Genomic DNA, 12,384 nt, shown 5'->3' on the forward strand with positions numbered 1-12,384 from the left:
CTCTTCAGCTTTCCAAAGTGTTGGGATTACAGGCATGAGCCACCACACCCAGCAGTAATTTTCAAATAAATTGTGCATATAGTAAATTTTACCTGAGGAGTGAAGTAAAGGTTAGTTGTGTCCATCTCCAGATCAACTTGACCCCTTCAAGGCTACTTCTCATTCCTGCAAAGGACAGCAGGATTCATGTAAAAGAGTATCCCTGTATTCGCTATGCAATTGATGATCTAGATTTGGAGTGCTTTGCTTTGCCTGATTGTCTTCTCTTTCTTTGTAGGTTTCCGTAGGTTTCCTACCAAAATGTATGACTGAGTCTAGTCATGAGAAAACAGTGGACAGTGGCTGGGCGTGGTGGCTCATGCCTGTAATCCCAGCACTTTGGGAGGCCGAGGTGGGTGGATCACCTGAGGTCAGGAGTTCGAGACCAGCCTGACCAACATGGAGAAACCCCGTCTCTACTAAAAATACAAAAAAAAAATTAGCCAGGCGTGATGGCGCATGCCTGTAATCCCAGCTACTCAGGAGGCTGAGGCGGGAGAATTGCTTGAACCTGGGCAGCGGAGGTTGTGGTGAGCCAAGATTGTGCCATTGCACTCCAGCCTGGGCAACAAGAGCAAAACTCCGTCTCAAAAAAAGAAAAAGAAAACAGTGGACAGTGGACATACACACCTGATATTTAGGGATGACGGTGTAGCCAGTGTGTAGCTTTTCATCTGATTATTCATATAAAGACTCAGGAGGCTGGGCATGGTGGCTTATGGCAGTAATCCCAGCACTTTGGGAGGCCTAGGCGGGCACATCACTTGAGGTCAGGAGTTTGAGACCAGCCTGGCCACCATGGTGAAACCCTGTCTCTACTAAAAATACAAAAAAAAAAAAAATTATCCAGGCTTGGTGGTGCATGCCTGTAGTCCCACCTACTCGGGAGGCTGAGGCACGAGATTCGCTTGAACCTGGGAGGCGGAGGTTGCGGTGAGCCGAGATTGCACCACTGCACTCCAGCCTGGGCAGAAAAAAAAAAAAGACTCAGAATAACAACAATAAAACCATATAGTAGGTACATGCAGAGAGAGTGAAATAAAATATGTTAAAATATTAAAACTTGGGGAATCTGAGTGAGGGGGACATGAGAATTCTTGTAACTTTTTGGTCACTTGAAATTATTTCAAAATTAATATGGAACACATTCATATTCATAATAAACATAAAACATACGTCTACACAAAAACTTGTACACAAATGTTCACAGCTGCATATTCATAATAGCCAAAAAGTGAAAACAATGAAAATATACATCAACTGAAATACATAAACAAAATTTTGTATCTAAATGATGAAATATTTAACAAGAAAAAATTAAAAAATAGATATAGGCCAGGCTCAGTGGTTCATGGCTGTAATCCCAGCACTTTGGGAGGCCAAGACTGATGGATCACTTGAGGTCAGGAGTGCGAGACTAGTCTGGCCAACATGATGAAACCCTGTCTCTACTAAAAATACAAAAATTAGCTGGGTGTGGTGGTGCACAACTGTAATCACAGCTATTTGGGAGGCTGAGACAGGAGAATCACTTGAACCGAGAGGCAGAGGTTGCAGTGAACCAAAATAGTGCCATTGCACTCCAGCCTGGGCGACAGAGTGAAACTCCATCTCAAATAATAAAAATAAAAAGTAAATACAGATACATACTACAACATAGATCAACCTTTGTTTAACAGGTTGCTATGAAAAAACTATATAGATGAACCTTAAAAACATGCTAAGTGAAAGCAGCCAGTCACAAAATACCGCATATTGGCTGGGCACAGTGACTAATGCCTATAATCCCAGCACTTTGGGAGGAGGCTGAGGTGGGCGGAACACTCGAGCCCAGGAGTTCGAGACCAGCCTGGGCAACATGGTGAAACCTGTCTTTGCAAAGAAAAAAAAAAAAAATCCCTCCAAAATTAGCCAGGCTTGGTGGCACATGCCTGTAGTCCCAGCTACTCCAGAGGCTGAGGTGGGAGGATTACTTAAGCTCAGGAGGCAGAGGCTGCAGTGAGCCAAGATTGCACCACTGCACTCCAGCCTGGGCACCAGACCAAGACTGTGTCAGAAAAAAAAAATCACATATTGCATGATTTTATTTATGTGAAATGTCCAGAATAAGAAAACTCATAGAGAAAAAACTAGATTTGGCCAGGCACGGTGGCTCACGCCTGTAATCCCAGCACTTTGGGAGGCAGAGGCGGGTGGATCATGAGGTCAGGAGATCGAGACCATCCTGGCTAACACAGTGAAACCCCGCGTCTACTAAAAATACAAAAAATTAGCCGGGCGTGGTGGCGGGCGCCTGTAGCCCCAGCTACTCGGGAGGCTGAGGCAGGAGAATGGCGTGAACCCGGGAGGCGGAGCTTGCAGTGAGCCGAGATTGCATCGCTGCACTCCAGCCTGGGCGACAGAGCGAGACTCTGTCTCAAAAAAAAAAAAAAAAAAAAAAAGAAAAAACTAGATTTGTTGTTGCCAGCGGGTGAGGAGATGGGGAATGATGAATAACTGCTGATATTTCAGGGTTTCTTTCTGGGGTGATGAAATGTTCTAAAAGTGATTGTGGTGATGGTTGCACAACTTTGTGAATATACGAAAACCCCCTGAAGTGTACATTTTATTCTTTTATTATTTTGTAATGGTACTAAGTTCTAAAGATAGTAGAAAAGCTAATATCATCAAGTTCCTTAAATGATAGTAAGAAAACCTTCCGGGCTGGGCGTGGTGGTGGGTGCCTGTAATCCCAGCTACTTGGGAGGGTGAGGCAAGAGAACTGCTTGAACCCGGGAGGTGGAGGTTGCAGAAAGCTGAGATTGTGCCACTGCACTCCAGCCTGTGTGATAGAGTGAGACTCTGTCTCAAAAAAAAAAAAAAAAAGAAAGAAAGAAAGAAAAGAAGGAAAGAAGGAAAGAAGAAAGAAAGAAAAGAAAAGAAAGAAAGACTTCTGATGCCAGAAGCCCCCTCCATCAACAATCTGTCGAGCAATGTTCTTCACTCAGAGGCTCCCATCTGACACTAGGTAGGGAAGGCGTTGGTGCCCTTTGCCCATAACTAGCCCATGACAGAATGCTGCCTTGGACAGAGCCCTCACTCACTCCAAAGAGGCCAGGAATGCTAGGTAGGGAGGAATTTACATGCCTAGGCCAGCTCTGGACCAGCCCCAGTCCTATGGTACAGAGAAGGACAGTGGCAGCTAACGAGCTTGGAAAAGTCCAAAGCCAGCCTTGTTTAACACCAGTAACAATTTTACCTCTACACTGAGGGCTAACATGCATCCAATTCCAGTTCCTCTTTCTCCATCTAAGTAACTCCAGAGGTGGCACTAAGCCTGGCCCACTCACACAATCTAGGACAGAGCAATAGTCAGACATCTCAATGGGCTCAGCTTCCCAGTAATAGGAGTTACTGAGAACAGCACTGGGGGAGCCTCTGTCCATGTCAAAAAGGAGCATCTAAGAGGGGTTACTGCCATAACTCCATCCTTCTTGCTGTGCTTTGAGAAACAGAAGCCAAATCCTACCTCCCTTCAAAGAGCTCTAGTTGCTATGGGAACCAATCCCACCCCCCACTTGAGTCCCGAGACTTAGGAGGGTATGGAGCCAGGAGGAGGCTCCCGGGTGTCTCAAGAGCAGCCACACTTCTCTATCAAGGATGCGTTCACACAGTGAACGCTCATCTTACGTTCGTCATCCTGGACCGTTAGGGAGAAGAGAATGACCTTGGTGGGACTACAGGTCTGAAAGAGCCAGGAACAGATCAATAGGCACTCCCCTCTTATAGTGCAAACTTTGAGTGCAAAGTTGGATTGATGAAGCTCACTGTTGAGGGTCAGGCAGGTCCCCTGACAGTAAGGGAAGCTGGAAGTCTTGGGTGCAACAATACACTCACCGCAGGCAGCTCTGTGAAGGTTCACCTTGCAATCCTGCAGATGACAGAGCTTCTCTGCTGGAAATATATCCTGGCCATGGTCTATCTCCCCATGATTCTGGCATGGGATCCCCAGAGTCAGCTGCTCCACAGTAGGGATAAAGCATTTCTGGACGTAAGGCAGGTGAAACAGAGGTGGCTGTGTTGGGGACAAGGTCATGAACAGCAACACTATGTCTCACTTGCCTTTGATACTAAAACACTGGTTCAGGCTGGGGTCAGACGCATTAGTAGCTGTAATCTTTTCCTCTGCCAAGAGGGTGGGCACCACCTCCATCCAATATATTAGTAAACAGTAGATCTCCAATAATGATCCTCCTTTCTGACTGGTAGGATGAAAAGATAATGGGGAAAGAGCCCAAGAGGAATCTTTCGCAGTTGGTGGTGGTTGGGGGGCAGGGGTTGATGGGTCTTGAACTCTAGAACAAGCTTAGTGGCATGGGGATAGTGGACACCCAAACCCATAGCTATATCAAGGAAACCTCCAAGAAGGGAACTGCCTCAAAACAGACAAGCCAGTAGCTGTGTAGGAACTAGGAGCTTTTGGATGTGAGGGTAAAACCATGTTGCCAGGCAGAAAAGATCTCATTTATGCAGAAAGGCAGCACCCGGCTGGGACAGTCAAACATTTCTACCATGCTAAAACATGCGCCAAAGACCCAGAGCCAAGAGCCCAGGAAAAAGCCAAGAGATGCCACTCCTCCCACTGCCTGCTTTCAGATGAAGTGGACACTTCAAATGGGCGAATTTTATGGTATGTGAAATATATCTCAATAAAACTACAGAAGAAAAATAAATGTCACACGTACAACATAAAGTAAAATCATACATGTTTTCTAGGCCAGTGGCATAGAGGTATACAGGCTGAAAAGAGAGAAACTCTGAAAGTTATTTATTTATTGAAACAGGGTCTTGCTTTGTTGCCCAGGCTGGAGTGCAGTGGCATGATATCAGCTCACTGCAACCTCTGCTTCCCGGCTTCAAGTGATTTTCCTGCTTCAGCCTCCAAAGAAGCTGGGATTACAGGTGCACCCCATACCCAGCTAATTTTTTTTGTATTTTTGGTAGAGACAGTGTTTCACCATGCTGTCCAGGCTGGTCTCGAACTCCTGACCTCAAGTGATCCTCCCGGCTTGGTCTCCCAAAGTGCTGAAATTACAGGCGTGAGCCACCATGCCCGGCCTGAAAGTCTTTTATTAAGCAAAAAAAGCCACTACATGAGTAGTTTCTCAAAAAGACCAAAAGCCGTGTGACCAAGTGACATGGCTTCCTTTCTGTCTGGCTAGGTCTTGTCTCTGACTTAGGTCTCATTTCCCCGAAATAGCACTGGAAGCAAAAAATAGTGTGATGGTTAAAGAGCCGGCTTTAAGTAACTCGCCCAAAGTCACACAAGTTATAGATCTGGATTTGAACCCAGGCAGTCTGGCTCCCTGGGTTCCAATCCAGATCTATAACCTGTGTGACTTTAGGCAAGTTACTTAACCTCTCTGTGCTCTGTTATAAAATGGGATACACGATTGGGTTGTTGCGAAGAATAAATAACATAATCTTTGAAACGTGCTTCAAAAAGCATCTCTTGCTTGTTGGAATTTATTTGAAGTTGACTATGTTTTTTTAAAAAAGCCTCCCATTAGGACATGCTTTTTTTAGAAGGCCCCAATCATTTCATCCTCCCATTTGTCAATGATCATTTCTATGTTGCAAGCCATCTTTAATCAGACACCAGGTAGTAGTTGATCTAATGCTGACAAGCCAAGTCCTACTCCCCTTCCCTGACATTCCTTTTCTGCCATTGTGAGAACTATAGAACATGGCTCAGAGGTTGTTTTCAAAGGCTGAGGTCATTGCTATCATTCCTTCATACTCTCACAGATTAACTCCAAACTGCAGAAGCATCTTGGTTTCCCATCATCCTGCAGACTGGGCAAACAGATAGGAGCTTAGGAAGGCCTAATCAGAGAACAGATGCTCATTTCATGCTAAGAATGTGCTAGCACTGTACGTGAATAGTTTCATTTCATTTTCACACAAACCCCATCTTGCAGACTATTATTATCCTCTTTTTCACATGAGGAAATTAATGACCAGAAAAGTTAATATGTCAAGGTCACACAGCCACTGAAAAATGGAGCCAGAATTCCAACCCAGCTGTCTTCAGACCCTATTAACTGCCATGTTATATTACCTGCCCCTCCCTAGAATGTAAGAGTTTACAGCTAAGGCCCTCTTTAACAGTAGCCCAAAGCAACAGAGGTCAGAAATTCTGTCTTATCTATCTATGTCCTCGGTGCCTGGGACACCGCCTGCCATGTGATAGGAACACAGAATGTCCAACTGCTTAACTGTGCTCGGAACATGTCATGTAGAGTTAAGTGAATCCTCCAGTTGCAGAGTCTATTTTCTACTTGTAAGACTATTTATTTATTTACTTATTATTTATTTATTTATCAAGATGGAGTCTCAGCTCTGTCGCCCAGGCTGGAGTGCAGTGGCACGATCTCGGCTCACTGCCACCTCCACTTCCTGGGTTCAACGGATTCTCCTGCCTCAGCCTCTTGAGTAGCTGGGATTACAGGTGCCCACCACCATGCCTAGCTAATTTTTGTATTTTTAGTGGAGACGGGGTTTCACCATGTTGGCCAGGCTGGTCTTGAACTCCTGACCTCAAGTGATCTGCCCACTTCAGCCTCCCAAAGTGCAGAGATTACAGGCGTGAGCCACCGCGCCAAGCCAACTTTCTACTTGTAAGACAATTTAGAGGGGTTTAGAGTCACAGAGATCTTAGTTAGAATTTGGTAGCTATGTGATCTTGACAAATGTATTTAACTCATCTGAGTCTTGTGTCCCTAACTTGGAAAATGTGGTAAATATATACTCATAGCATTATTATCTGGATGGAATGAAACAATGATAAACATATAATAGGTGCTCAATGAATATTAGCTGTTACTATTGCCTCCCTATCCTTTCTTCCAAATAGGTCTTTGTGATAGGTCAACCATGAGTTAGTTCCCAACTCAAAATAAGTGAAGCAGAAATTGGAACTCAGAGTAGAGTAGTAAAACTAGCATTAAATTGGAAATTGGGAAACTTGTCTCCTGGCTTTTGTTGCCCTTTCTCTACCCAGCAACTATGTAATCTTGGTCAAATCACCTTACTTGTCTGGGCTTCCAATTTCATATCTTAAGTTACAAAATTGATCTCTGAAGCCTCTAGGATTCTCTGAATCCATATGTCTGGGACTAAGAGATTATGTCGAGGAATTATTACCCTTGGTTTGATTGTTTTTTAAACAAATTAACTTGGGGTGGTTGGAAAACACATTGATTATTTACTCATCTTAGAGTTACACGTTGTTCATTTATTTGAAACTGAAACGTATTTCCTCCAAACACCGTAGAAACTTAAAGGCCGCAAAAGACTCACACCCACCACCTAGCGGCGAAAAAAGGAAGTTTCAGGTGATACAAGATGTCCTGCCATCACACCTGAAGGATGGTTGTCCACAGCCATTTTTTAAAATCTCGTATTAGTCCTCTTCCTTCAACACTCAGGACAGTATTATGTACCCAGAAACTCAATACTTCCTGGCGTCTTCATTTGACAATACTCTTAAGCCAATGAAATCCTGTGGGACGTTTGCGAATTTTATAAAGATCAATGTTTTAAGATTGGCGGGGTGGGCTGGGAGTGGTGGGGGGGAAGGTGCCTTCCTACCCTTGCATTTGCATCTCAAGCCACCCGTACCCGAGGCCCACCCAGTCCATCTGTTCATTGGTAGATACACCATTCCGCCATTCCGCCAGTGGCTGGTGCAGAGAACCAGGACCACCACCTTTGAAAAGACCTAAATCAATACTCCAATGGGATCCTGATGTCAAGTATTTAACGACTTTGCTTTACCTACTACAGTAATTAAAATTAAGTCTTCAAACTTAAATTTAAATTTCTAAAAGCAGGAATGCACTGTCCTTAATCTTAAACACCAAAGGTGGGAGAAAGAGGCCAGAATCCTAGGGTACTAGGCCTACTGGTATAGGGCGATCTCTTCTGCTTTTTTCTTTCCACCCCATTTCTTTTCCCTTTCTCCTTTCGTTTCCCATCTTCTCTCTTCTCGTTCTCTTCGAAGTAACAGTGACAAAATTAAGGTGATTCAATTATTCCAAGAGGCTTGCTCATATAAAATATTTCTCTTCAAGCCCTTTCCTGAAATCCCAAATTAAAGCATTTCCAATAGTCTCTGCTTTAAGTATTCCTAGTTAAGTCTACTTTTGGAAATATTAAATATTCTCACTTTGGCACAATATTCCAAAATTCCTTGAGAAGTTCGCCTACGATCAGTCTTGCTAGTAGAAACCTTTTTTTTTTTTTATTTAAAACGCTCGATTTCCACTTTTTACTAGGTTTCCCAATGTTGGCGATGTCTCCCAATGACTTAATAACGTGTATCCACTTCACCTTTGAAAATCTTAGAGGTCAGTGCATCCACCGGCATCCGGGAATTTATTCTTATTTCTGCTTCTTAAACAGGCTCTGGGGAGGAGCAGTTTCGACGGAGAAGTTCATAGCAGCAGTTATTACGGAACTTGCAACAGTTGGTGCCGGGCGATAGGCAGGTTGGAAGTGATAAATGGGGCTGGCGTAAAAAACAAAAAGCCCCGGGGAGGGCGGGGGCAGCCGTGGCCTTGGGGGACAGTGCGAAGGCGGCGCGGGGCCAGCGGGACTGACTTCCGGCTGTGGGAAGGCGCCGTCCCGGGCGGCCAGAGGCGGCGGCAGCCGCGTAGAAGGACGGCGGGATCGCAGCCCGGCGGGCGGCGCGCGGGGCGGGTGAGCGGGCCCAGGCCGCCCCCGGGCCACGCCGGGGCCACGGTGAGGTGAGGCCGGCCCTGCCCCCGCACCGCCCCCGGCAGGAGGCGCGACGCCCGGGCCGCGGGTGCGTGCGCGGCCCCGGGCGACGCGGCTGGGCGTGCGCGGGGCCGCGGCGGAGGCTGGGCCGGGCGGGCGGCAGAAGATGGCGAGGGTGTGTAGGCGGCAGCAATGCTCCGTTGAGAGACGCGGCTTTCGGCAAGAACTGGATTCGTGGCGCCACAAGCTCATTCACTGTGTAGGTGAGACCCTCCGCCGACCGCCGCCGCCCCTCCGGCCGCCCCGCCGCCGGTCGCCCCAGACCAGGGAGGAAGCTGGGGAAGTGGCAATTGCTGCTCCGGCCCGCCCGCCCTCTTTGGCTCGAGCGTCCCCCCTTCCCCCACCCCCCGGAGTGTGAGCGCGCGCGACCTCCAGGCGGGCTCCCCTGCTCGGCCGAGCGCGCGCCGGCCCCTCCCCTCCGCGCGCCTCCCCGGGGCTGGCTCTCGGCGGGAGCGCGGGTTCCTCCCCCTCCCGCTCTCCATCCCCGCCTGCTCGCTCCCCTCCCTCCCCGCTCCCGCCCCTGCTCCCGCTCCAGGCCCGGCGCCCCGGCGCCGCCGCCGGCTTATTGTGGCGACTCGCCTCGCGGCGCTGCCGCTGTACTGGGGGAGGCGCGAGGGGCGCGGGCGTGCTCGGCCCCCACCCGCGCTGTGGCCGCCGCCGTCCTCCTCCTGCGCCACCCCTCCCCCACGCGCGGGGCGCGCCCCCGGGTCTGCGTGCACGCGCGGCGGGCTGCAGGCGGGCGCCCGGCGCTCGGGCGTGTGCGAAGCGTGAGGTGGAGATGGGGGCGGAGGGAGCTGGAGCTGTCACAGTCCCCGGGTGCGCCTGACCGAGCCAAGTGGGGTGTCATGGCCGCGGGGGGCAGCGGCTGCACTTCCTCAGCGGGCGGCGGTGGCCGGGGAGTTAATCCTCGACGCACGGGTCGGTGTGTGCGTATTTGTGTTCGGTGTCGTGCTGCGGGAGGAGGGGGTGGGACCGGGTCCGACCGAGGAGCCCCGGCGGGGGTCGCTCTCGTCCCCTCCCGGGGATTGGCCGGAGCCGCAGCCTCGCCCGAATGCCCCGTCCGCCCCCCGCCTCCCGGACCTTGGGCCGCCCTCGGGTGGCTTTTTCCCTGCGGGCCGGAGGGAGCGCGGACGGGGGCGCCCCGGGAGGGGCCGGGCGGCCGAGCTGCGCCTCTCACACTGTGTGTTTTGTCTGTTTTTCTCTCCCAAGGTCCCGTTTCCCTCTGTGCGGCGGCCGGCGGGACCATAAGGGCTTAACTCATATATTTAACCCCCCTCCAAAAAGTAAGTGGCCCGTGTGGTGTCTCCGCTCCGCCCGCCGCCCCCTAGCCCCAGTCCATCCTTGTGTCTGACTCTCCTGTCCTCCAGCATTGTTACTTCCCCGTCTTTGCTTCGGTGCTGCTGGTGTGTGGGGAGATGCCCTCTCGTCGTCCGCTGTCCCCCACGCCCAGTCCTCGGGGAGGCCCAGAATTCCAGCCCCTTCTCCCCCAGGGGAATATTCTTGGGAACCAGGTCTTTCCCGGCAGAATCTAGGAGAGTCTATCCGTTCGCTTGGGCCCCTCATTCCCTCCTTCCCGACAGGGTTTCGTTGGAAGGAATTATGCAAATCCTGCTTTCTGGTGTCCATTCAGCGGCAATTTCATGCGGTGAGAAGTTCTCTTTGTTGTGCGAGGGGGAGAACAGACACTGATTTAATAGACATATCTGTTGGGGGGAAGGGTGGAGGGGGTGTGGAGAGGCTCAGTTTGGAAGAATTACAGCACTTGGTTAGCTCAGTGTCTTTGTGTTTGAGCCTTCTGGCTTGACAGGAGGGTCTGCCCTTTACAATGTCCCACAAGGGATGTTTTCGATAATAGATTAAAAAGCAAAATTGAAACTTTAAACAAGTGAAAAATCAGGTAACCTTTACTTAAAGAATATACGCCTTTCCATTTCTACAGGGTTTCATTACGAAAATGTATAGCGTGAGTTTCGTTAAGGATTTAGACTGTAACACCGAAATTAATATAGGCAACAATGCTTTAAGGTATCTGATACCAGTTTGGTTGTCCAAAGGTTAAAAGTGCATTTTCAAACATATGCTTGTGCAAATAATAAAGGCATGAGTCAGTTTTTTGGTATAATTCGTCTCATGAATATATTTTAAAATTCCCCTCCTGCCAATCCAAGACCAGTGCTGCCCTCCAGGAAACAAACAGCCTTTTGCCTATCAGTTATCCTGTACTCTGCTCTATCTCTGCTTGTTTTATTCTTTCAAAGTATTATTATGCATGTACTAAAATGTTACGTCGGTTTAAGTACTTTTTGAATTACTTGGTATTTCGGACTATCATAGAAGAGAGCATATAGCAGGTTTTGAGAAGCATGAAATTAATGCGTTTTCAGAATTGTGGGTTAGTATCAAATGCTGGAATTGTTTTGAAGAATTTTTAGTTCTTGTATGTTTTACATTTGTTAGTGATTGGTTTTTTCAGCAGGGCTTTTTAGTCTTTGAAAGATTTTTAAATTTATAATGTAGTCCTGTCCTGTAGATTTTCTGAGTTCCATGTTGCTTTAATTTAGATGGTTTTAATTAGTGTATCTTATTCTAATTCTCTTTGCATTTAATCCTGGGCTCCTGCCTCAGGACCCCATTTTTTCAGTCATTGCTAGTTAGTGGTTAGTTACTGCTGCTTGACAAGATGTGTTTTTGTTTTTGTTTTTGTTGTTGTTTTTTCTTTATTGAGACGGAGTTTCACTCTTTTGCCCGGGCTGGAGTGCAGTGGCGCCATCTCGGCTCACTGCAACCTCCGCCTCCCAGGTTCAAGCGGTTCTTCTGCGTCAGCCTCCCGAGTAGCTGGGACTACAGGCGTGCGCCACCACGCCCAGCTAATTTTTGTACTTTTGGTAGAGACGGGGTTTCACCATATTGGCCAGGCTGGTCTCGAACTCCTGACCTCATGATCCGCCCGCCTCGGCTTCCCAAAGTGCTGAAATTTACAGGCGTGAGAGCCACTGTGCCCGGCCGTGTTTTTGGTTTTTAAAATTATGACTGATAAATTATTTCTGTAAATATCTGAATGGAATATCAACATTTTGATTCATTTTTTGAAGGCAAATTTTAATCTGGTGATCAAATTTCTTAAAGCATACTTTTAACTCCAAATTTCCACTTTAAAGATAGTAAAGTTCAGAAGATTATAGAGTCCAGAGTGCAGAGCAATATTTTAATCTGAGCAGTAACATATATTCATAGTCTCTCAACTAAAATCAGTGGGGCCTCATATTTTCTCTTTTATTATATGTAATTTTGTTTTTTAAGAGGAGAGTTCTAAGTAAATTAATTGTAGTGTTAAGAACTTTCTATATTTAAAAGGACTGGCAGTGATCCTTAGGCAATTCAAAAGGTAACTTGTTTACTTCCAGATGTAATAATTTTTTAGTGGGATTGGTTCTAAACGGTCAACCTGTTTGTTTCTCTTGACTGATTATCTTAATACTTTAGGGTCATTTGGTTTCTGGAAGGTATTTAATTTACAGCAGTTTG

At 47.6% G+C, this 12,384-nt stretch overlaps 1 protein-coding gene, 1 long non-coding RNA gene and 1 other non-coding gene across 6 annotated transcripts in view, besides 10 other annotated features; 1 reads left to right on the forward strand and 2 right to left on the reverse strand.

The window, feature by feature from the left end:
- MIR607 (microRNA 607) lies at positions 5,332-5,427 on the reverse strand. Its single transcript, NR_030338.1, has one exon. It is a non-coding gene; the product is annotated as a microRNA 607 (primary transcript).
- On the reverse strand, positions 7,295-9,121 carry LOC102723665 (uncharacterized). The gene has a single exon (NR_135921.1). It is a non-coding gene; the product is annotated as an uncharacterized LOC102723665 (long non-coding RNA).
- Positions 7,309-7,508: a transcriptional cis regulatory region, noted in NCBI's record as "candidate enhancer chr10.3525 targeted for multiplex CRISPR interference". NCBI's record gives its function as "positively regulates LCOR gene expression with high confidence in K562 cells {active_cell/tissue: K562}" and the evidence as "EXISTENCE:mutant phenotype evidence [ECO:0000015][PMID:30612741]".
- Positions 8,544-8,843: a silencer, noted in NCBI's record as "silent region_2661". NCBI's record gives its function as "represses an Ori minimal core promoter by ATAC-STARR-seq in GM12878 lymphoblastoid cells {active_cell/tissue: GM12878}" and the evidence as "EXISTENCE:reporter gene assay evidence [ECO:0000049][PMID:35858748]".
- Positions 8,544-10,200: a biological region, named in NCBI's record as "H3K27ac hESC enhancers GRCh37_chr10:98591864-98592578 and GRCh37_chr10:98592579-98593294".
- Positions 8,770-9,484: an enhancer, noted in NCBI's record as "H3K27ac hESC enhancer chr10:98591864-98592578 (GRCh37/hg19 assembly coordinates)". NCBI's record gives its function as "activates a minimal SCP1, AML or CMV promoter by ChIP-STARR-seq in naive H9 embryonic stem cells {active_cell/tissue: H9 hESC(naive)}" and the evidence as "EXISTENCE:reporter gene assay evidence [ECO:0000049][PMID:30033119]".
- Positions 8,864-8,913: a silencer, noted in NCBI's record as "silent region_2662". NCBI's record gives its function as "represses an Ori minimal core promoter by ATAC-STARR-seq in GM12878 lymphoblastoid cells {active_cell/tissue: GM12878}" and the evidence as "EXISTENCE:reporter gene assay evidence [ECO:0000049][PMID:35858748]".
- Positions 8,924-9,643: a silencer, noted in NCBI's record as "silent region_2663". NCBI's record gives its function as "represses an Ori minimal core promoter by ATAC-STARR-seq in GM12878 lymphoblastoid cells {active_cell/tissue: GM12878}" and the evidence as "EXISTENCE:reporter gene assay evidence [ECO:0000049][PMID:35858748]".
- LCOR (ligand dependent nuclear receptor corepressor) overlaps positions 8,961-12,384 on the forward strand; it is a 163,659-nt gene continuing 160,235 nt past the window's right edge. For 3 of the 4 annotated variants that reach the window (NM_001346516.2, NM_001170765.2, NM_001170766.2), the window contains exons 1-2: positions 8,961-9,062; positions 10,069-10,142. The gene's annotated coding sequence lies outside the window, so the exon portion shown is untranslated. Of the gene's footprint in view, positions 9,063-9,607; positions 9,778-10,068; positions 10,143-12,384 lie in introns of those variants that run through there. The other variant, NM_032440.4, reaches the window with a different exon arrangement.
- Positions 9,485-10,200: an enhancer, noted in NCBI's record as "H3K27ac hESC enhancer chr10:98592579-98593294 (GRCh37/hg19 assembly coordinates)". NCBI's record gives its function as "activates a minimal SCP1, AML or CMV promoter by ChIP-STARR-seq in naive H9 embryonic stem cells {active_cell/tissue: H9 hESC(naive)}" and the evidence as "EXISTENCE:reporter gene assay evidence [ECO:0000049][PMID:30033119]".
- Positions 9,684-9,743: a silencer, noted in NCBI's record as "silent region_2664". NCBI's record gives its function as "represses an Ori minimal core promoter by ATAC-STARR-seq in GM12878 lymphoblastoid cells {active_cell/tissue: GM12878}" and the evidence as "EXISTENCE:reporter gene assay evidence [ECO:0000049][PMID:35858748]".
- Positions 9,784-10,023: a silencer, noted in NCBI's record as "silent region_2665". NCBI's record gives its function as "represses an Ori minimal core promoter by ATAC-STARR-seq in GM12878 lymphoblastoid cells {active_cell/tissue: GM12878}" and the evidence as "EXISTENCE:reporter gene assay evidence [ECO:0000049][PMID:35858748]".
- Positions 10,201-10,914: an enhancer, noted in NCBI's record as "NANOG-H3K27ac hESC enhancer chr10:98593295-98594008 (GRCh37/hg19 assembly coordinates)". NCBI's record gives its function as "activates a minimal SCP1, AML or CMV promoter by ChIP-STARR-seq in naive H9 embryonic stem cells {active_cell/tissue: H9 hESC(naive)}" and the evidence as "EXISTENCE:reporter gene assay evidence [ECO:0000049][PMID:30033119]".

This window comes from Homo sapiens, chromosome 10 (assembly GCF_000001405.40).
Source record: "Homo sapiens chromosome 10, GRCh38.p14 Primary Assembly".
Lineage (NCBI taxonomy): Eukaryota > Metazoa > Chordata > Mammalia > Primates > Hominidae > Homo > Homo sapiens.